The 21,882-nt window shown below is 40.3% G+C and overlaps 1 long non-coding RNA gene across 1 annotated transcript in view, besides 3 other annotated features; it reads left to right on the top strand.

The window, feature by feature from the left end:
• LY86-AS1 (LY86 antisense RNA 1) overlaps window positions 1-21,882 on the top strand; it is a 276,362-nt gene that overhangs the window by 215,415 nt on the left and 39,065 nt on the right. The window lies entirely within an intron of this gene.
• Window positions 14,611-14,810: an enhancer, noted in NCBI's record as "active region_23918". NCBI's record gives its function as "activates an Ori minimal core promoter by ATAC-STARR-seq in GM12878 lymphoblastoid cells {active_cell/tissue: GM12878}" and the evidence as "EXISTENCE:reporter gene assay evidence [ECO:0000049][PMID:35858748]".
• Window positions 14,941-15,110: an enhancer, noted in NCBI's record as "active region_23917". NCBI's record gives its function as "activates an Ori minimal core promoter by ATAC-STARR-seq in GM12878 lymphoblastoid cells {active_cell/tissue: GM12878}" and the evidence as "EXISTENCE:reporter gene assay evidence [ECO:0000049][PMID:35858748]".
• Window positions 16,059-16,108: an enhancer, noted in NCBI's record as "active region_23916". NCBI's record gives its function as "activates an Ori minimal core promoter by ATAC-STARR-seq in GM12878 lymphoblastoid cells {active_cell/tissue: GM12878}" and the evidence as "EXISTENCE:reporter gene assay evidence [ECO:0000049][PMID:35858748]".

The following is a 21,882-nucleotide window of genomic DNA, read 5'->3' as shown; positions in this document are numbered from 1 at the left end:
CAGAAAGAATCATTCAGTTTGGAGAGAGCAGAGCAGAACAGAGCAAAGCTCTGAGGAAATGAAATGCAGGACAGTTTAGGTGAGAAGGAGGGAAAAACTGGAACGTCAGGTTCCCAATAGTGAAATGCAACACAGGAAACAGTACCAGCTTCATGTTTGGAGAACTTAGAAAGTGGAGGATGGGAGGCAGAGATAAACAGATGCCTGTTGAAGGAAGAAGACTCTCAAGGGAAAAGCAGAGGATAACCAAGACCAGATGCTCTTGCTTTAATGTTTTGCTAGGTTGGCCAAGCGACTATCAATGCTTACATGGAGAATATCTGATTCATTTTGTGTTTCTCTCTCTTTTTACCCCCTGCCCCCTGACACATGATGAATGTTTTCTCTTATGATGCAAAAGAAGAAAGTATTATAAGAAGCTTAGCATCTTCAAACAAGTGTGTTTGAATGCCCGCTGTTAGGTATTTGTGCATATTTCCACATGAAGTTTATATGTGGCACTTGCCCACTGCAACGAAAGCTTGCCAAACAGAGTCATTCCTACAATGCTGCCAAGAGCTTGGGATTCACTGCAGGAGAGTGATGGCAAGTATCTGGATGAGAGTCAGTGAAGAGGTTTGGAAGATGTTAGAGAGAATTGAGAGACCATATGAAGTACTTTGTCCTGCCAATGCAATGAGTTCTAAAGTAATCCTCTCTTTAGGTTGATGGGGAACTTTGGCTTTGTCATTTTTTTTTTCTTTTTTGACATTGTAGACCAGTCAAGATCTTTCAGCAGCTCCTCTCACTTTGGAAAGAGCTTTGCCTGGAGGCCTCTTTTGTATGTTTCTCCAACTGTTCACAACAAATGATGACACAATGTTTTAGGAACAGAGAGAAAACAGTGTATGAGAAATCAGAATGGAGCCAAAGCCAGCAACCTAAGTGTATTCAGGACATAGGAAAATAAGCGCTGGGATACAGGTGAAAGATCCTGGCCTTTGAAACATGCTGTCTTCAGCATTTCTTGGAAATGGCTGTTGTTTAGATACAAAGTCACCATAATATTTTGGCATGAAGAAAGTCTCTGCAGATCTCATGTTAGTATCCTTTATGGGGTAGCTGATTAATTTGGAGAAATGTCATCTAGTTTGGGTGAGGTACAAAACATGATTTGTAATTTTCTTATTTTGGCTCCTCAAATCTGCAGCCTAATTGTGCAATAAACTCAATAAAATTGGATATGTTTTTAGTCTTGAAAATAAAACAGATTCAGCTCTCACTTCATTCCTGAGCAGGCCTTGGGAATAAACTGAACCATTTTCAGAGTTTTGAGAATGGAACTTCTTTTCATGAACCCCAAAGCCTTTGAAGTAATTTTAGAATTTTTAACTTAGGATATTTCTGCTACTCTGAGGTTCCAGTGAATTTATTTTTAGTTTTAAGAAAAGTAAAATTAAGTCATGAAATTTGAGTCCATTTATAAACAGAATAAAAAATCACCCCCCTTAATGTGGGGATTGTACCTTTCAGTTCTCACTTGGAGGCTTTTCTCCTCTATTCATGTATTTATGGCAGTAAGATTGAGCCCTTTTGTTAAGAAAATATTCCCCACTATTTGAGAACTCTAAAATAGAACAAATCCTTAAAGCAAACAGAAAAGAAGATCTTGACCATATTATCTTTGGTTTTTGTTGGTGACTTTATAGTGATTTTAATTTAGAGTTGGCTTCTGAAAAACATGACTTAAATTCCACTATGGTGAAAGAAATGACAGGAATGTGTCTTCTGCAGAGAAATAGGTATTTCAATCTTTATCTTTCTTAACATTCACCAAAGAAGAGTAGGTTGGTATTATTATTATCACTGTTATTGCTATTTTGCTGATAAGATCAATACTGAAATTTGAGAAATAAAGTATACTTTTCAGTGGGGTTTGTCTGCTTTCAGTAATGATGAGCAAGACAATTTGAAGAAACCCTATTGTTGAGAACAAGTAAAAACAGTTAGATGAAATAGGAATTAAAAAAAAAAACAAAAAAACATTTACAACTTTTGCTGTGAGAGTATTTGCTGATCCAGAGACAACAGTGGAAAAACTGAAGTGAGATTTTGGCAGAATCCCAGGACAAGGGGAACAAGAGTCAAAGTCCACCGAACGTGAAAAATCTGATCTACCCCCACTCATATTTAAAGGTAGGACTCCAGCCTTAGGATGAGAGTAAACCACAAGTAAACCAGCAATCATGCTGACTCAGAGATCAGCTTCTCTTCTCCTGACATCTGAGGAACCTCAAGATTCAACTTGGATTGAGGTGGTCTTGCACTAATGGCCCCCCACACAACTAGTAGAAGCAAATAAACATTCTCTTTGAAGGAAGGTACCATCCTAGGACTCAAATTATGTCTACAACTTAAAAAAGAAATACTATGGGCCGGGCGCGGTGGCTCATGCCTGTAATCGCAGCACTTTGGGAGGCCGAGGCAGGCGGATCACAGGGTCAGGAGATCGAGATAACACGGTGAAACCCCGTCTCTACTAAAAATACAAAAAATTAGTTGGGCGTGGTGGTGGGCGCCTGTAGTCCCAGCTACTCAGGAGGCTGAGGCAGCAGAATGGTGTGAACCCGGGAGGCAGAGCCTGCAGTGAGCCGAGATTGCGCCACTGCACTCCAGCCTGGACGACAGAGCGAGACTCCATCTCAAAAAAAAAAAAAAAGAAAAAAAAAAAAAGGCAATTTTAAAGAAAGAAAGACTAGGACATCTCTCTGTGTTTTAAAATACATAAATGTATTTCTATATAACCAATGAGTCAAAGAAGGGATAATGGATGCTTGAAAATATATTAAACAAAATGCTAAGAAAAATACCACATATTCGAACTCATAGGACACAGTTAAGGGCAGGATTAGAGAAAAACTTATATCCTCAAGGTGAATATGTAAGATAAAAGAAAGTCACAAAAGTAATGAACTAAGCATCTTTCCAGGAAACTAGAAAAAGAACAGCAAAATAAACCCAAATGAAGTAAAAGAAAATATATTTGATGTTGTTTTTTTTGTAGATTCCCCTCAGCAAATTAAGAAAGTTTCATCTTATTCTACTTTATGATGGCACTTCATGATGAATGGATGTTGAAATGTAGCAAACATTTTTTTCTGCATCTATTAACGTTGTTTATGTGGACTTTTTTCCTTTGATCTGTGAGTGTGGCTAATCACAGCAACATATTTTTTTCTTTAATGTTGAAACAACCCTACATTCCTCGGGTGAATTCAATTTGGTCATTTCTTCCTTTTGAAAATTGCTAGATTACATTTGCCGATGTCTTATTCATTCGTTTTGCATTTATGTTTATAGATAAGATCAGTCTGTTATTTTCTTCCTCTTGTTTTACTATCCTTATTGAATTTCGGCATCAAGGTGTTGCTAGAATCATAAGGTGAACTGAGGAACGTGTCCCTCTTTTTCTTATTTAAAGAGTTTGATAAAACTATCAGCATTTTTTCCTTGAATATTTTGTGAGATCATCTAGTGAAGGAAGTTAAATATCCTTGGATTATCATCGTGGAGAGAGTTTGGATTACTAATTCAAGTTCATTGATGGTTATATTACAGTTTATTCCTCTTATTTCTTCTTAAATCAGTTTTAAAAAGATGTATTTTTTAGAAATTTGTCTATTTCATCTAAATTATCAATTCTCTTGACAGAAAGTTGTTAATAATAGTCTTCTGTGCTTAATGTCTGCAGGATACCTAATGATGTTTGTTTATTCATTTTTGTATTATCTCACTTAATCTTTACAAATAAAGCTATGATAAATACTATGATTATTTCCACTCTATAGTTGAGGGAACTGAGTAAGCTTCAGAAAGTTAAGTCATCTCTCTATTAATGGACAGATCATAGATTTGAATCCAGGCAGCTAGGGTTCCCTTCTTTGACTCTTAACTAATCATTATGTTATACTTTTTCCATCATAGTAGTGATGACAATGACACTTCAAAGACCAGGGTATCTACAGTTTTGGTAACACATGGGCTTTATATAATTTTATATTTTTGTTGCTGTTTTATAAAATGTTCACTAAACTAGTTGGACCTGGTTCTAAAGAGTCAACATTGAATCCATCCCTGGATAGGCAATTTTTTTTCTCACTGATTGCTTTAGTCCAAGCTTGTAACAAGACAGCCTTACCAGATTAAATTGCAGGTTTTTGTTTACAAAAAGGTTTGTGTAAAACCCAGACGCACTGTTGGAATTAAGAAGTAATACATCTTCACTTCTAAGACTCTAGGCCAAGCCACCACCATTTCTTGTCTGAGATGCTGTAATAACTTACAGTTGGTCTCCTTTTGATCAATTTTCTACAAAGAAGTCATTATTTTGTTTTAAAAACATACATTATACCATGCCATGTAATTTCCTTATTACAGACCTTCCTTTGGGAATAATATTTTCAGATTTATTATAATGCTTTCTTTTTTCTTTCATTACCAAGGAAACAACCTTGCTGTGGCTTGCTGAAGACACTTAACCTTTGAGGAGTTATTAGGACTTATTATAGAAGAAATCAGTTGGGCTGAGGAAGTGAGACAAGGAAGGGAAGGAGGCCGTTGCGGGCTTCATTAATGAGCTGTTACCATGTGGGCAGCTGGAGCTCCATCCCACTGGAGGGCTTGCTTCTGGGACACTACATATAATCTGCTTCAGAATTGTCCTACTCGAGTGGGGGCGGATTGGTTATTTATCCACCCACTCTTGACTGACATATTGAGATCGTCTTGTGAGGGAATGAACTTTCTGGCACTTCAGGCCTGTCGTGCACATAGACCAAGAATTCCTCGTGATTAGAGAATTCCCTCTGCAAGAGGGTCACAGATGCTTACAGCTAAAAGCCATCTGCCTGTAAGGGAACAGTGGATATCAAGAAAATATGGGTGAAGCCTCAATACTTGCACTGCTGTGGTCAAATTCTGTCCCATCTTAAGTTCACTCTGTCTGATAACTGATTCTTCACAGTGAAATCCAGCCATAATTTCTTTAAAACACAACAAAGCAAAGTTCAGTAGGAGGATTAATAGGACCAGCTACAGTCCCTGCTGCTTCAGTTGATCCCAAGGACATAATAGACATTTACCTCCCTCTTTTACTGTCCACTCTAGATGCTCCTCACGCTCATTCAACACTTCTGCTTGGGTTTCTTGTGCAATCGGTGGCCCAGACATTGATACTGAAGCTTCTGAGTTACTGGTTACTGTGCCCTAGTCATGCCATGATTGCTGACTGCTCTTTCATGGTTATTACTGGACACAGAAGCACAAAAAGCCATCCCTGAGTCCTTGATATACTCTTCTGTGCCACCTTTAGCCAGCAGCAACCATAGATCCTAATGATAATCAAGGTTGATTATGCCCATCAACATGACCATTCGTTTCTTTGCCTGTGTGTATATTGGTATGAGAGCCGAAAATGACCAGGTGACACTCATTGATTTTTGGGTTAAAAGGTTTAATGGAATTTTTAATGTGAAGTCTTAGTCTTTGGAATCAGAACTTTTAATCAATATGATTCTAAAATTACAGTGATAGAAAACACAAATTTCTCCAAGTGGACCATTGGGAGGGAAAGGCCACTCTAACCTAACCTTTTGGTTCCTGGACCCATGTAGTCTAGCCAGCTATCATGAATAATGCATCATCAAATGGTCAAACAATAGTTTAAAACTTAAATTGTATCTCAGATAAGCATCTTTCATTCCAGTCATATGGAGTATCTCAGCTATTCCAAGCCCATGCCCCAGCTGTCCCTTGGGAGGCCATCCAACTTTCTATCAGCCTGGTGGTTTCTGAGTGATGTGGTGTAGAGTAAGGATGATCAATCTCATGGTCATGTGCCCATCATCACATCTATTTTGCTGCCTTTGAGTGACTGAGTGATTGAGCTGCTGGCATTGACACTAAGACTCAGACTTTATGCTCATTCCCACAGGTCTTTCCGATATGTTATTCCCCAGACTTCTATGTCTCTGATCTTTAGTCTTGTATTTCTTGATCTCTCACCCAGTCAAATTATTCATCAATGCTCAAGAGACCTTACCTTGGACCACTTCTTCCACACAAACATGATGGCCAGAATGTCCCCATCCACTGAGAGGATTTCCCCTCTTCACTGTATATCAGGGAAACTCTTGAGTAAGGCTGTCGTTTGTAAGCAGTCCACTTTTTAAACTCACATAGCTGTGAAGTGAGGGGAAGACCCTAGTACAATGGAGATATGTGGCATGGGTTTTCAGCCTACCTGTGCTTTCCAGACCTGCTCAATCCCAAACATACAATTTTCGTTGAATGACAGATTGCTGCTGAGCCATGCAAACCCTATAGCTTGCTGGCAGTGATGATACCCTATTCATGATGTACAGCATCTGTCACATAATCTCCTGATGTTCCATAGTAGGCACTCAATCTCTATTAGGTATGTACCTGTAACAGTTCAGGAGCTACTTTTTGAATAGCAAATAGTTCTCTGATGCAGATGGCATTACCTTGCTCCAGAAACCTTGGGTTCTGACTGAGCTTCTACTACTAAGATTTGTCTGAGGGTCCATATGGTGTCCTTTTCAACTATTGATATTTGTAGCACTATTGGATCTGCTGGATCATATGGCCCAAGTAGTAGGGCTGCTTCTACTGCAGAGCTATTTCTTGCTCTGGGCCCACTCAAAGCTTGCAGCTGTCTGAATCATCCAATAAATGGGTTAGAGGAGGATTTCCAAGTGTAATATATAATATCTCCAAATTCCAAACATGCTTACCAAACATGGTGCCTCTTTCTTAGTGGTAGGAGGTGCAAAGTACAATAGCTTGTCTTTACCTTGGAGGGGATGTCCCTAGCATGCTCCAGACCTCACAGTTCCTAGAAACTTCACCGAATCTTTGTGTGGTTTTTTTCTCCTTCCTGCTGGCATGCATGGGTCTTTCCAAAACATAGGAAAGAATTACCATTTCCTGCTCCACAGGTCTGATTATCATGATATCAATATACTTGACCAGCATGATTTTCTGTAGACAGTCCATATGATTTAAGTCCCTTGGGACTTTAATTGTGACATATTTAATTGACCATATTGTGACAAAGATCAGAAGAGGTAGAGATGGTAAATATTTAAAATTATCTGTCCTAGGTTATTGTGAACTGCCTTTGATCCCGCTTCTCAATGAGCATAGGAAAGAATGCATTTGCTAAATCAGTATCCACATACCAAGTTAAAGAGGCTATTTGATCTAGTTCTAAATCTAGTAGAGACATCACATCCAGCACAACAACTGTAATTGGGACTATCATTTGGCTAAGTTTGTGCTATCCCCTCATCAGCTACCATGATCCATCTGGTTTTTGCAAAAACCATATCGTTGAATTAAATGGGAATATGATGAGAACCGCCATCTCTGCATGTTTTAAATCTTTGAGAGAGGTGCTATTCTCAGGTATAATCCCTCAGATGCAACATCACTTCGGATTTATTATCTTTGGTGAGGGAGAGAGAGAGTTTCAGGGACTCCCACTTGGCCTTGCCTACATTTATGGCTCTTACTTCGTAGGTCAGGAAACCAATATGAAGGTGCTGCCAGATGCTATGTGTATCTGTCTCTATTATGCAAGCTAGGACAAAGGACATAGACTCAGGGTGAACTCATGTGAGATGGGCTTTGACCAGGACTCCATTTATCTCCTGACATCTGTGAATCTCAACTCTAACAAGGTGTCAGGATAGTATTAAAGGCTTAATGGCATCTTAACAGTAGCTGTTGATCCATATCCATATCCTTATTCAAAAGCTGTTAAAAGATCTTTCTTCCCTTTCCACAGTTTATATTTACTTTGAAAAACAGCTATCAGTTCTTTGGGGGAAAGACTGGAGTAAGAGCTACTGATAATCCTTCTGTTATGTTGCAGGATCTTACCTCCAGGAGACCCCCCAACCCCTCAGATCTATGGATCTCAGTCTATACCCTCAATATGTATCCCCAGCAGGAACATTGACCTTCTTTGGAAGGAAAGGTATTATTCACCAAAAAAGTTGTAGGTTCTGGAAAATATGGAACAGCAGGAACCTTCTGGTTCCTGGTGAGTAACATCTTTCTTCCCAGAAAAGGGTCAGTACTTCTCACTATGACATGAAGAAACTTGAGCCTGTTCATTGGTCTAGTATCATATTGTAAGACATTTGTAAGGAGAAGCATGTCCATGGTCTCCAGGTAATGAGAGGTTACTTCTCCTCTGACAAGAAAGAAGTAGGCTTTTATGCAAATTCAAGTAAATTTGGGAGATTTAAGGTTCTCAAGTGTATCTACCCAAAGTTCCCCATTCCAGGTCTCAATGTCCTACCTCTTCTATATCAGACCTACACTTTAGTGTAGGTGGTTTATATCTCTAGCACCGTATAACCAAATATTGTGTCTGATTATTCATTACAGTTTGTCTTCCGGCCACAGGAGGTGTGGGTCCTTCTTGTAGACTTCTGTCATTCAAATTAGAGCTTGGAGTGATAGCTGTCATTTTATTCTTTCAGGGCTTCTGTCATTAACAAAGAGAAGCAGTACAATTATCCTTATAATAATAATAGTAATTATTATTATTTTTTGAGACAGAGTCTCACTCCGTCACCCAGGCTGGAGTGCAGTGGGTCAATCTCGGCTCACTGCAACTTCCACCTCCTGAGTTCAAGTGATTCTCCTGCCTCAGCCTCCCGAGTAGCTGGGATTACCTGCATGCGCCACCATGCCTGGCTAATTTTTGTGTTTTTAATAGAGATGAGGTTTCTCCATGTTGGCCAGGCTGGTCTTACCCTCCTGGCCTCAAGTGATTGGCCTGCCTCAGCCTCCCAAAGTGTTGGGATTACAGGCATGAGCCACCATGGCCAGCCATTGTTATAATGATCATTGCCTACATAAACTTCAAGAGCTAGAACTATTACAGAAGGCAATGTATCCCCTTTCATCTCTGCCCATCTCAATCCACCAAAGGTAAGAGTCTCACTATTTGTGATACTGTATGCCACCAGAAATGGGGTACTTGCTGCCATCTGTTTGGTAAGCAAGTGGGTTCCACAATCTCATCATGAAGATCTTCTTAGGACCACTTCTGGGACCATCTGATTTAAGTAAATGTAACAATTACCTTTTGCTGCATTATGAATCATCCCCATAATTAGTGGCTTTGAAAAGTAACCTTTTCTTCAGCTCAAGATTACATAGGTTGACAATTTAGGCAGGGCCTAGTGGGACGGTTCTTCAGGTTTGGGTTGGGTTACCTGTATGTCTATGATTGGCAATGAGTCAGTTGCAGATTAGCTTTGCAGATTTTGGCTAAGTGTTCTCACAGACAGTAACAGAAATGACTCGCACTGGCCCACGTAATGTCTCATTATTCTGCAGGCTAGTCTAGGCTTTTCAACATACAGAGGCTGAGTCCCAAGAGAGCAAGAAGAAGCATGTAACAATCATTTAGGCCTCAGCTCATATCACTTGCCACTGTCGCTTCTGTTGCTTTCCCTAAAGTAAAACAACTCACGAGATCAGCCCAGATTCCAGGAGTGGAGAAATGATCTTCATCTCTTTATGGGAGGAGCTGCAAAGTCACATTGCAAATATAGTGAGGGGGAAATTGCGGTCACTTTTGCCACGAATTTGTCAGAGTTGTATCCTCCCAGAGGCAGATCCGGACAAGGAATTGATCGCAAGCACTTAATATGAGAGGTGATTCTAAGGGGCACCAGTAAGGGTGCAGGTAAGTAAGACAGGGAATGGAGGGGAGTCCACACGAGGCGTGTTCATAAGAAGGTTATCACTGTAGGAAAGTGAACTCAATGCCACTGGATGCCTCTGGGAACCTATACAGAACCTGTGTCAGAATCGCCCATAGGAGGGAAAGGAAACTGAGGCATTTATACACCAGTTCCTCTCTGTCATTGTTTGAGGGCTGCCCCTGCAGGCTTTGACTCCCTAGGACTTCCGGCCCATCTGTAGCTGGCCATGCTTGCTTCGAGAGTCCCAGACGGCTACAGTACAAACCTCCGTGTATAAGGGAGTGGTGAGTGCCAGGGGATAGGGACTGAGCACTAATGACAAGGTGAGAACAGAAAAATGACCACAGGATTTGGCCACCTGATGGTCAGTGAGAACTTGACCAGAGCAGTTTCATTGGAGTGGTGGAAAGAGGTCTGTTTGAAGCAGGTTCAAGAAAGAAGGGAAGGAGAGGTGGAGAAAAAGGATGAAAGTCTTTTTAGTAGATTTCTGCAGTGAAGGAGAGTAGAGAAATGAAATGGGGTGGAATCTGAAAGGGGAGGGAAGGCAAGAGGAGGGTATTTTTTAACAATTGAGAGATACTGTAGGTAAATTGCACACAGACAGGAATGATTTGGCAGAGATGGAAAATGTGCTGCTACGAGAGGGAGAATGGGCAACTCTGGGAGTGTTGCTACTGGGGTGTGGGCAGGTGGTGGTTTAGACAGAGCATGCAGGAGTTCTTCTTGTTACTAAATATGGCATCCTCAAGAAGGCCTTTCCTGATATGCAATATAAGACAGATCTCGTCCACATTACCCTGTCCCATGTTGCTCTTTGTGCTTATCTCTATCTGAAATTATGTTGTTCATTTATTCTTTTATTGGCTTACTGTAATGTGAGCCCCATAAGAGCAAGTATCACCTCAGTCTTATTCAAATGCTTAGTCACATCGCTATCGCTTAGAACTAGACTGGATGTTATGGACACAAATGTTTGTTGAATAAATAATGAACTGATGAATGAATGAAAGAAAATAGCTTACTGGTGCCTTCTTCATATGATGGGATAGTTTTTCTGTAACAGGGTCAATTCTATCAGCCTTGGTCCCTGCCTAAGTGTGAGAGGCGGCAGTCATGTTGTATACCTGAACGACGATGGATCACATCTATATGCACGCTGCAGGGTCAACCACTTCCTTTAATTAGGAAATTTCACTTTTCAAATTGGGATCCTGGCAAAAGCACTTTCAGTGGAGTGATGGTGACAGAAGCCTGTTTGAAGTGGGAGAAAGAAAATGATCAGAAGGCTTTTGCCAACGAATATAGCAGGTCACTCCACTAACCCCACCCAGTTTGCCTTCCCTCTCAAATCCACCTGTTTCTTGATTTATTCCCTAACTCTCCCCAGCATTGTCCTCAACAAATAACTCAAATTCTGGCCTAAGTGAAAATTAATCCATTAATCTAATTGATTGATTGATTGCTTTGGGTTCTTTTTTTTTTTCTTTTTTCTGGTTACTATGTTTATTAGCCTTCCTGAGCAGAAGCAATTCCAATGCCTGTCTCCGAAGGGTAGTGGTACAAAAGGGAGAACCAGTCTCTCCTCCAGCTACGTGCCTGTGAACTCTCTGTGGGCGTGTGACATTACAAAAATAGAAGTGGCAGAGCAGTACTCTCAGCTACTTTGGATTGCAACACAGTGAAACGTAAAATTTGCTTTTGCAGTTGTTCTTTACAAAATGGTTCCCATTTAAATCATGAATGTTTTTCATTGTTTTTTCTTTCTTTTTAAAATCCATATTGGTTACTGAATAACAAGGTCAAGTTTGTTAATTCTGGTGGACTTGGCTGCAAGGTTGGCCAGTACTTACCACTATGTGAGCAGGTGCCCATCCTCCTGTTGAGAGCTTGCCTGCTCAATTACAGGGGCTAAAATGAATAGAATGTTGGAATGATTGACACCTAGTTGTGGACATTATTTTAATTTTCAAGTCCAATATTTTCCTATTTAATTCATGCTCAAAACAGTTCACTGGTGGTTCCGTGGAATTTAGCTTCTGATTTTGGTATATGAATCAGTATTTGCTATCAGTTCAAGATTTGGCACAGTGTTGCTTTTTAATATGATTAGAGTTTATAGTTTAAATCTAAATGTTAGTATTGAAATGAGTTTGCCTAACTAATGTAATAGGCAAATAGCTACTAGCCACATATAAAAGCTTGATTTAATATTTATTACATTCTGGAGATGAATGCTGTTAATTCTTAATTGTGTAGATGTGGATTATAAATATCATCAAATCCTCACTTTTCAGATTTTTGGCAGTAAATTATATTATAAAAACAAAGTTCACAACAAATGAGATACTGGATGTGCATAAAGTCTTGGTGTCCAGTATACATATTTGGAACATTCATATGGTTTGCAAGTGCTTGAATATTGCTTGGTCTAAATAAAGGATAAAGGATGCAGCCTTGTATGGGTAGAGAATATGACCTCGAATTCTAGGTCCAATCCCCTCACTGATAAGCTCTGTGCTCTTGGCCAAGTAATATTCGTAATCTTCCATTCCGAGCAAGCTCCAGTTTGCTCATCATAAAACAAGGCATAATCTAAATAAGTGGCCTTTATACTTTTCAGGATCATTTTGAATTGATGGCAGAAACTGTGTCCTATTCAATTTGTAGCCAATTGTTACAAATGTTATGTAGTTGTTTAATAAAAATATATTGTGTTAAATGAAACTGAAGACACCTTGAAAACTGTAAAGCAATATACACATAGAAATGGAATTGCAAAACGTGTTTAATTGTCTAATCCCTTTCTATTTTTTCCTCCTCCTCTTTATCTGCTTTCTCCTTTTCTACTCCAACCATTTTTCCTCTTCCTCTTCCTCTTCCTCTTCTTCTTCTTCTTGTTATAATAGAGAGTGAAAGAAAGAGCATTTTTTCCAGAGAAGCCTGTGTTTGCTCCCTGATATCCAGTACGAGTGCAATTCATGGCTAATGCAACTCATCCTGCTGGCTTTCTTAATTGTTTACTCCTTCACCCAATCATTTTCACTCACCAAACATTTCTGAGCATCTCTAGGGTACAGGTCTTGCTCTGTGGTTGATGTTAAGAGGTCAAGATGTGGCCCACATCTGTAAGCAGACTTGTTTTGGAGACAGGTGAGGAGAGCTGCTTAACTTTGGTCATGCACCATGGCCTGGCTGTTTAATCACAGAAAGGAAAAGTGAAATAGGAATTACTCTCCCTGACCCACATGTCCACAGCATTAGGAAATCAGGAGAATGGAGTACATTTTTCTCTTTCCATGGCAGTGGGCCTGTTCAGAAAGGCAGGAGAAATGCATAGAAACTTTCTAGATGGCAGAATGCTGTCCTCCTGCAGGGCACATGTGGTTCTGGAGGGGAAGGAGGTGACCAGACATCAGCGGGGGGGAAAAGAATAAATATTTGAGATTGTTTTGTTGATAAGAGACTGAGATGTCATTGAATACTTGTTGAAACACTCTTGGTTTGTTGAGGGTAAAGAGTTTTGACATTTTTTTTTCCAAATATCTACATCCACAGACACACAAATCCACAAATGCTACCAGAGGTACTAAAAGTCTTGTGGAATATGCTGCCCTTGAGATCCTTAAAACTGGGAGAGAGGTGCCAGGGAATGCCACCAAAAGGAAGAAAGAGATGACTTCCTAATGATGAAAATAATAACAATGATGAAAGAAAGAACTGGTAGATATGGTAGATATTGGATAATTCCTATGTGCCAGGGACTGTGCTAACTGCTTAATATGTATTATCTTCTTTAATTCTCAGAACAAGTATGTGAGGAGCACAAAGCTTATAAAGATGAGAAAAATGAGGCAACAAAGTTAAGGAAATTGCCTAAGATTACATAGTTTATGAAGTGAGATTTGAGCCTATCTAATCGACTCCAAAGCCCAGGCATTTAATCATTACATTATACTACATCTAGAGAGGTCTCAGAGACTCCAGCCATTCCAAAATGGAGTCTTTTGGTTACCACGTTACCTATATATTTATGAGATTTGGTTCTGCCACGTGACTGCATCTGCAAACACAAAACCCAAGCTTGTAATAAAGGAGTACTGTAATAACAGAGCATGCGAGGGAAACCAGTGGTGCCTGCAATTCCTTCCCTGCATCTTATTATATAGTAGCCATTGCCAGGACAGTGTCTACCCTCAAGGTGTGCAATTCCACTGAGAAAATAGAATTATTGTGGTCATACTGTGTTGAAAGGCTGCTCAGAGAAAGCAGAGAATGTACACTTTCGAGATGAGTGAGAATTTCATTCATTCATTTGTTCAAGAAATATTTACTGAGGACCTAACATGTGAAAGGTATCTTTCACCTAGTAGTGAAAGATACAGTCTCCACCACGAAGGGATTTACAGAGGGAAACAGATCAGAAAATCCATGCCACGCATGTGCTTGAATAGAGGAAACAGATCAGAAAATCTGTGCCACGCCTGTGCTTGAATAGAGGCATGCTCTGGGTGCCGTCAGCAAGCCAAGGAGGAGCATCAAACTCAGCCTTGAATCCAGGAGACAGGAGGGGGAAAAATAGGTAGCAGTTAGCCAGAAAGACTCAAGGGATATCTGCGGGAATCCCCATGGAGATCTCCCATGGGCAATAGGAGTTTGCCAGTTTTGAAAACCTCTCAGTCATTGGGTGATTTGCAGAACTGAAACAGGATGCTGCAAAGGTGTGAGCTTCAGTCTGCATAGGGCTTCAGTGCAGCTTCAGTCTCCAAAGGGCTTAGGTGAGACCCTCACATTTGGGTAAGACTTGTGGTGGCTTACACACTGTTTTTACACTATCATCTCATGTGATCTCCTTTGGGACAAATGTTATCATCTTCAGTTTACTGATGAGAATGCCACGTGACCTGCCCCTGTTCCCACGGTTCTCATAGGTAGGGCTACAATTCAGACTCTCATCCTGCACTCCAAGGCCCCTTCTCTGTACCACATGACCTCCCTCCAACTGGAGCGAAAGTTTGTCAAGAAGCTCAAGGCTTCTGAAAAGCCCCGAGGACAAAATACGCTATACTGGGTCTGGGTGGCTGCCAGGCATCAGGACCTGAGACAGTTGATGGGAGGCAAGCATGAAGGGCCTGGTGAGGAAGACAGCAGTGGCAGGAACAGGAAGGCAGGGGTGGATTCAGCATCTAAGAGGTCAGAGGGTCAGCCCAAAGATACAGTGACAGGGTTGTGTGGCTTTCATCCTCACTGGAAAAGTTTGAGTTTGTTGCCTCTGTTGGTCCCATGGGTGTTGACAAATCCTCCAGGGCTTATCAACTGTCCCACTGCCCCCACCAGCTAGGTCGGAGTCTCTTCTGACCAACCAAAATGAGTCTGAGCTATAAACAGCTAAACTAGCTCTGATGGTGCCAAGGTGCTGATTTGAGTCTTGCCTATACCATCCCTAACACAGTACACATTTACAGTATGATAATTGCCTGTTGTCTTCACTCCTCAAGTTCTCCAAGTCCAGTAGCTGGCATGGCGTGGGCATTGCTGAAAGGAATACAGCCCATGCTGAATTTTACCCATGATTAAGACAGGACTAGAGAAGCCCAGCCTCATGTATTAATTCTTCTTAATTTCAAAAACATGTATTGGCAAATTCTGGGTGTCGAGGACATCAGGAGAGTTGCATCCAATATGGATCATGGATTAGATTGTCTATGCCAAGGGAAATGACTTGCAAACAACTGGCCTTTGGGGGCTGCAATTATTCTTAAGCAATTGAAAAATTTGGAAATATGTGCAGTCATTTGTGGAAACAAAACACACCAGGAGTAGATCATTGTCTTATGTGTAGCCCAACACAGATGCAGTATCACGGAGCTGAGTGACTGCTGACTCCTAAGAAAGAGACTCACCGATAATTGAGGGGTGCACTGGCAATGGCTTACAGTCTGATTCTTTTAACATATATATGATATATATATATATATATTTATTTATTATATATATTAATATATAATATATATATAATATAATATTTCCCCAAAACCTGAACAGAAAGGGGGAAAGCAATAAGTCTAAGCTGCTAGGACATTATTTGAAATCAGCAAAAAGGGAACTGAGACACTGAGTTGAAGAATGAAGCTGTGAGGGTGTAACTATAAAAACATATTTGGCCTTTTAGGTGGGAAATACCCTTTGAAGTCATTCTGCCAAGAGGGGCCACCCAGCTAACAGCGCATGGGGCCAGAGGGCCTTGATGGCTAAAATGAAACCTAGTCTCTTTCTGGAGCCTTATGGAATCTGCGTTCTAGAGAGAGTGATTTCATGTCCTTGTTTGGAAGAAAGGCAGATTGGCATGAGCAGCCAAGGAGAGTTTTCAGATGGAACTCACTCTGCAGAGAGAGGGTGCCAAGGACTCCCGACTCCAAGGAAAATGTTGATGCTCCTCTGGCTTCTTTATCAGAAGAAGGGACTCAGCAATAAATCCCAGACTTAGTTTCCTCTCTGTTTTGTGACGAGATGCTTGTTTTACACTCTCTGGAGCCTCAGTGTATCTCTTTCTCTCACCGACTGCATTTTCTCTGCAGTGAAGTAGAGCCACCCTCCCCGGAGCCCTCACTCTCCAAGTGTGGGAGGGGCCATGGAGACCTGGTGGCAGGGAGTGGCATCTGCCCTCTTGGGAGCTGCAAAAGCTGCCTCCCCCTCAAACTGGCTCCGGTGAGATATTTTATGATGATGCTGTGAAGGGATGATTTGCAAAGCTCTCAGAGGTGCTGAGGAGCTGAGAAAAGCTGGCAGAAGCTAAGAAGAGATCTGAGGGCTGCCTGAAAGGATTTGGAGGGCTGTTGGGTGGAAGGGGGAGGAGGGCAGGAATAGAGGATTCCTACATGGCTGGACAGGGAGAGGGCCTCAAGGTCACCTAGCGCAGCTGCCTCATTTGACCGATGAAATTACAAGGTGAGGGTGGGGCATTTGCCTGGGATTGAAGTATGGAAATGATAGAAAAACTAATTTCAACTTAATATTCTTTCAATTAGGCTGCTACCATACAATGGAACGGGCCCCCCATAGAACAAATAACTCCTCTTCATTGCCAAAATATGAATAGGAGTTCAGTAGCACCCACAGAGGGGTCTGCAACGACATTGTCCAATAGAAATAGCATATAAGCTGGGCATATAATTTTAAAATCTCTACAAGTCATATTTAAAAAGTAAAAAGAAACAAGTGAAGTTAACTTTAATAATGTATTTTATTTAATTCAATACACCCAAAATATGATTGTTTCAACATATAATCAATATTCAATATAAAATTACTAATAAAATATTCTACATCCTAGGACTGAAATCCAGTGCTGCTTTTATATTTAGAGTACATCTCAACTCAGACTAGCCAGATTTCAAGTGCTCAATAGCTGTAGTCCTATGCCAGAAGAGAAATAGGATTAGATTTCTGATGTTGTTTTATTCCCTGAAAATAGATTTATTTCTATTCATTCAACAAATAAGTATTAAGCATCTAGTCTATTTAGGCAGCACGCTAAACTCTTCAACAATGATGGCTAAGCTGGGGTTTAAGAGTGTCTTCATGATTGGAGGAAACACGCCCACATTGAATAGAACTACCTTGCATTCTTTCATTTCTTTGTTATTGATGAGAAGGTGATAATTATGAATTTACTTATTAAGTGGACATAAAAATTTATACATATGTAACAAACCTGCGTGTTGTTCACATGTACCCTAGAACTTAAAGTATAATAAAAAATATACATATATAAAAAAATGTATACTTGACCAAAATGAGCCTCTCCCTCACCTGTAATGGCTGGTATGCCAGGCTCATGCCTCGGTGATCAGCTTCTGTCAGTCTCATTTTGACCAATCACAAGCTACACTCTGCATGTCTTCTTCAGAACCTTGAGTGCCTGCTGATGTGCTGTCATTGAGAAATGGATGGCTGCAGAAATGTGTGTATTAGTACTGAAGCAGGGAAATTGGAGAGAAGGCTTTTCTGGTGAGTACCATGAGGAGTTTGAACTTAGCAATTCTGCAAATAACAGAGAATAAAATTTCCAGTTGGAAATAATTCAGCAGGGAATTGGGAAATGTGGGCCTAGCAAGAAGCATAGACTCAGGGGTCCCTTCTCCATAGAGAAGTGAGGGTTGAAATCGTGGGAGTGAATGAGGTATCAGAGAGAGGAGAGAGAGAGATGCTCAGATGGGCTAGTGCTCAGCCGTGGGGAACACACACCTTTATGGAGAGAAAGAACCTTCAATTCAACTCCACATGTAATCTGAGTGCTTATTATGTGCCAGGTGCACTGTTCGATATGGGAATTAAGGGTGCAAAAGACAGTCACACTTCCTGCCCTCATGGAACATATAGTCAAAACTTACTGAAAAATACAGGACATCTGAGGCATGGAAGAGAGTCTACTCATTTCCACCTTAATATTACAGTGCAGTGGTAGCCCAGCTCTGGGCTGGCCCCTCCAGGGTGGACAACAGTCTTTCCTATTCTGGGGAGGCACTAAATCAGAACACCCTCTGACAGCCCTCAGAGATGTGAGGACTGACACCATGCGCTACCCCTGCCCTTAATTAACTGCATCCACACACAGCATGACGTGGATTTCCATCTCCTTGTTATGGGCCATTTCCCTCTCAGAGCTCTCTATGCCAATGCCCATCTTAAAGTGCATACCCCAGAAGAGTTCAACAAGCTCTGGCTCTGGTCTGGCCAGCAAAGAAAGAAAGATGACTGCTTTGCATTGCTCACATAGCATGTGCCACTCATGCACTCCACCAGATGCTATATGGCCATTAAATCAATCATTATCTCTTGAATCAATGAGAAGAGTTAGACTCCCTTGTTTTACAACCCAGACTCCTCTTAACATGCCCCAACTTCATTGACATAATTTTCCTTATTAAACTTATTACATCTTGCATTGTTCTATTTTATTTTGTTGTGATAAGAACACTTAACAGGAAATCTACTCTCTTACATTTTAAAGTCTATAACATGTTATTTTGTTGGCTGTAAGTAAAATGCTGTACTGTAGTTTTCTAGAACTTACTCATCTTTCTTGACTAGAATTGTGTGCCCATTGACTAGTAACTCAATTTCTGCTTTCCCTTGGCCTCTGGCGACCACCATTTCACTCTTTGATTCTGTGACCATTTTTAAATATCTTATGTAAATGGGATCATGCAATATTTGTCATTCTGTGTCTGACTTTTTTAACTTAGCATAATATCCTCAAGGTTCATCCACGTTGTTACGTATTGCAGAATTTCCTTCTTTGTAAAAGCAATAGTATTCCACTGTATGTGTGTATCACATTTTCTTTTTCCATTCATCTCTTGGTGGACATTTAGGTTGTTTCCACATCTTGGCTATTGTGAATACTGCTGCAATGCTATTATCTCTTCAAGATCCTGAGTTCAACTTTTTTGGATAAATACCCAAAAGTGGGATTGCTGGATCATATGGTGGCTCTATTTTTAATTTTTTGAGGAACCTTCATACTGTTTTCTATATAGCAGCTGCACCATTTTGCATTCTCGCTAGCAATGTGCAAGGATTACAGTTTTTTCACATCCTCGCCAACACTTGTCTTTTGTCTCTTCAACAAATGGTGTTGGGAAAACAATACCCACATTCGAAAGAATGAAATTGGACCCTTATCTTATGTCATACACAAAAATGAACTCAAAATGGATCAATGACTTAAATGTATGACCCAAAACTGTAAAACTCCTAAGAAAAAAAAACAGGAGAAAAGCTCTATGACGTTGATCTTGGCAGTGACTTCATGGATATGACACCAAAAGCACAGGCAACAGAAACAAAAATAAGTAAGTGGGACTACATCAAACTAAAAAGCTTCTGCACAGCAAAGAAAACAATCAACAGAGTGAAAAAAACAACCTACAAAATGTAAGAAAATATTTGCAAGTCATATGTCTGAAAAGTAGTTAATATCCAAAATATATAAGGAACTCCTACAACACAATGGTAAAAATAAATGAACAATTTGATTACAAAATGGGCCAAGGACTTGAATAGACATTTCTCCAAAGAAGACATAAGAATGCCAACAGCTATATGAAAAAATGCTTGGCCGGGCCCAGTGGCTCACCCCTGTAATCCCAGCACTTTGTGGGGCTGAGGGGGGAGGATCACCTGAAGTCAGGAGTTGGAGACCAGCCTGGCCAACTTAGCAAAACCCTGTCTCTACTAAAAATACAAAAATAAGCCGGGCGTGGTGGCAGGCACCTGTAATCCCAGCTACTCAGGAGTCTGAGGCAGGAGAATCGCTTGAACCCCAGAGGCAGAGGTTGTAGTGATCTGAGATATTGCACCATCACACTCCAGCCTGGGTGACAGAGCGAGACTCCATCTCAAAAAAAAAAAAAAAATTAATTCACTAATCATCAGAGAAATGTAAATCAAAACCACAAGATATCACCTCATACCTCTCAGGGTGGCTATTATCAAAAAACAGAAGACATCTTACGTTGCTTGTAACACAGTTCTCTTTTTCCCTATCCTCAATCTGGGTGTTGTTTCAGAGACACCAAAGATGAAGATTTTGCAGTTGATCCATTGTTCCAATCTGCTGATTCTTATTGTCTTCATTGTGTAAGCTATCACTGTAGGTAATTTTCTCAGCTTCACAGTATCCAAAAATGTAAATATCATGCCATCAAGGTCTTTATCTGAGACACTATTACATTTCAATAGGAAAGCCTCTTCAATGTAGATACTTCTACAAGCCAGGCCCAGAAACAAAGCAGTGAATATTGGAAATAAATTTTCAAGGAAGATTAAGGGGGTTAGCAATGTCAAACAGGGAGAACGAACTGTGTGGCTCCTGGGAAAGTCACAGAAAGAGTCACTTCACCCAGACAGGTGGAGCAGAAGCCAGGCTGTAGAAGTGAAGGTGACCTTGATGCACCAAAGCATTTCCTAAATGTAAACGCTTCCTGCTCACACTGACTTCCTGCCATAGATGATGTAGGTTCAAGAAATAATCTAATTCTTTAAGTGCTTTGAATTCCTTCAATTTCTACTAAATTCAAGTGCTCTCAGGAAACAAAGATGATGTTATTTTTCATTATTGATTTTATTCTTCTTCCAATGAAGTCACTCAGAAAAGATGTGAATGCCATGCTGAGTGGGTATTCTAGAACAGGCTCTGTTCTTTAGAAAAATAAATAAATAAATATATATATAAATAAATAAGCTCCGCTCCAGGCACTGAAAACAGATTCTGTTCTTCTGTAAAAGAAGAACAAGCATTTTCAGAATCTAATTTCTTATTTGCTTGCTTGCTACCACTATTCAGCTTACTCATAGTTTTTATCCATGGAGAGAAAGCAGCAAAACAAAGAACAGGAAATTTCACCACGCTGCAGGAACTGTCGAAATGGTTGTTCTGGGAAGAAGCTACATATTCACACTAACCACAATCCCCGTTCTGGATCCTCATTTCTTTTGTAGAATGATTGGCCAGAAAAGAATTGGACTTAAAATATCAACCCATATCAACAATAATGAAAATGAACAGGCTGATTATTAAAATAACATGTTAGACTATCTAGTAGACAACACCTTCTGTGTAAGAACTGTGCATGTTTTAGCTCATTTAATCTTCATAATCTCTAGAGCTCCATATGTTTATTATCCTTATTTTACAGATAAGAAAATGAAGGACACAGATAGAAAGTGGCAAAGCTGCATAGTGGACACCAGAGCCCCAGCTCTGAAATAGAATGTTACAGTGTCTGTACTTCACACGACAGTATAGGTGACTGTGTCCCACAGGTGAATTCACAAATGTCACCCCCATCTAAGCGTGGGGAACACACCCTTCAGAAGCATCTAGTGAATGCACGAAGAATAAATGAATCAATGTCAGCAACGGGGATGCTGTTGGAGAAGGAGAGTAACCTTGGAAATTCCATAAATGCTATTAATTCACACTAGCAAATCAGATCCATGAAACAATAAGGAAAGAAATTAGTTAAAAACCTGGCAGGTATTCTATAATTATAAATCATCATGATAACAGCAATATAACAATAATGAACAT

Source organism: Homo sapiens, chromosome 6, assembly GCF_000001405.40.
Source record: "Homo sapiens chromosome 6, GRCh38.p14 Primary Assembly".
NCBI lineage: Eukaryota > Metazoa > Chordata > Mammalia > Primates > Hominidae > Homo > Homo sapiens.
This window is presented reverse-complemented; position numbering and strand designations above follow the sequence as displayed.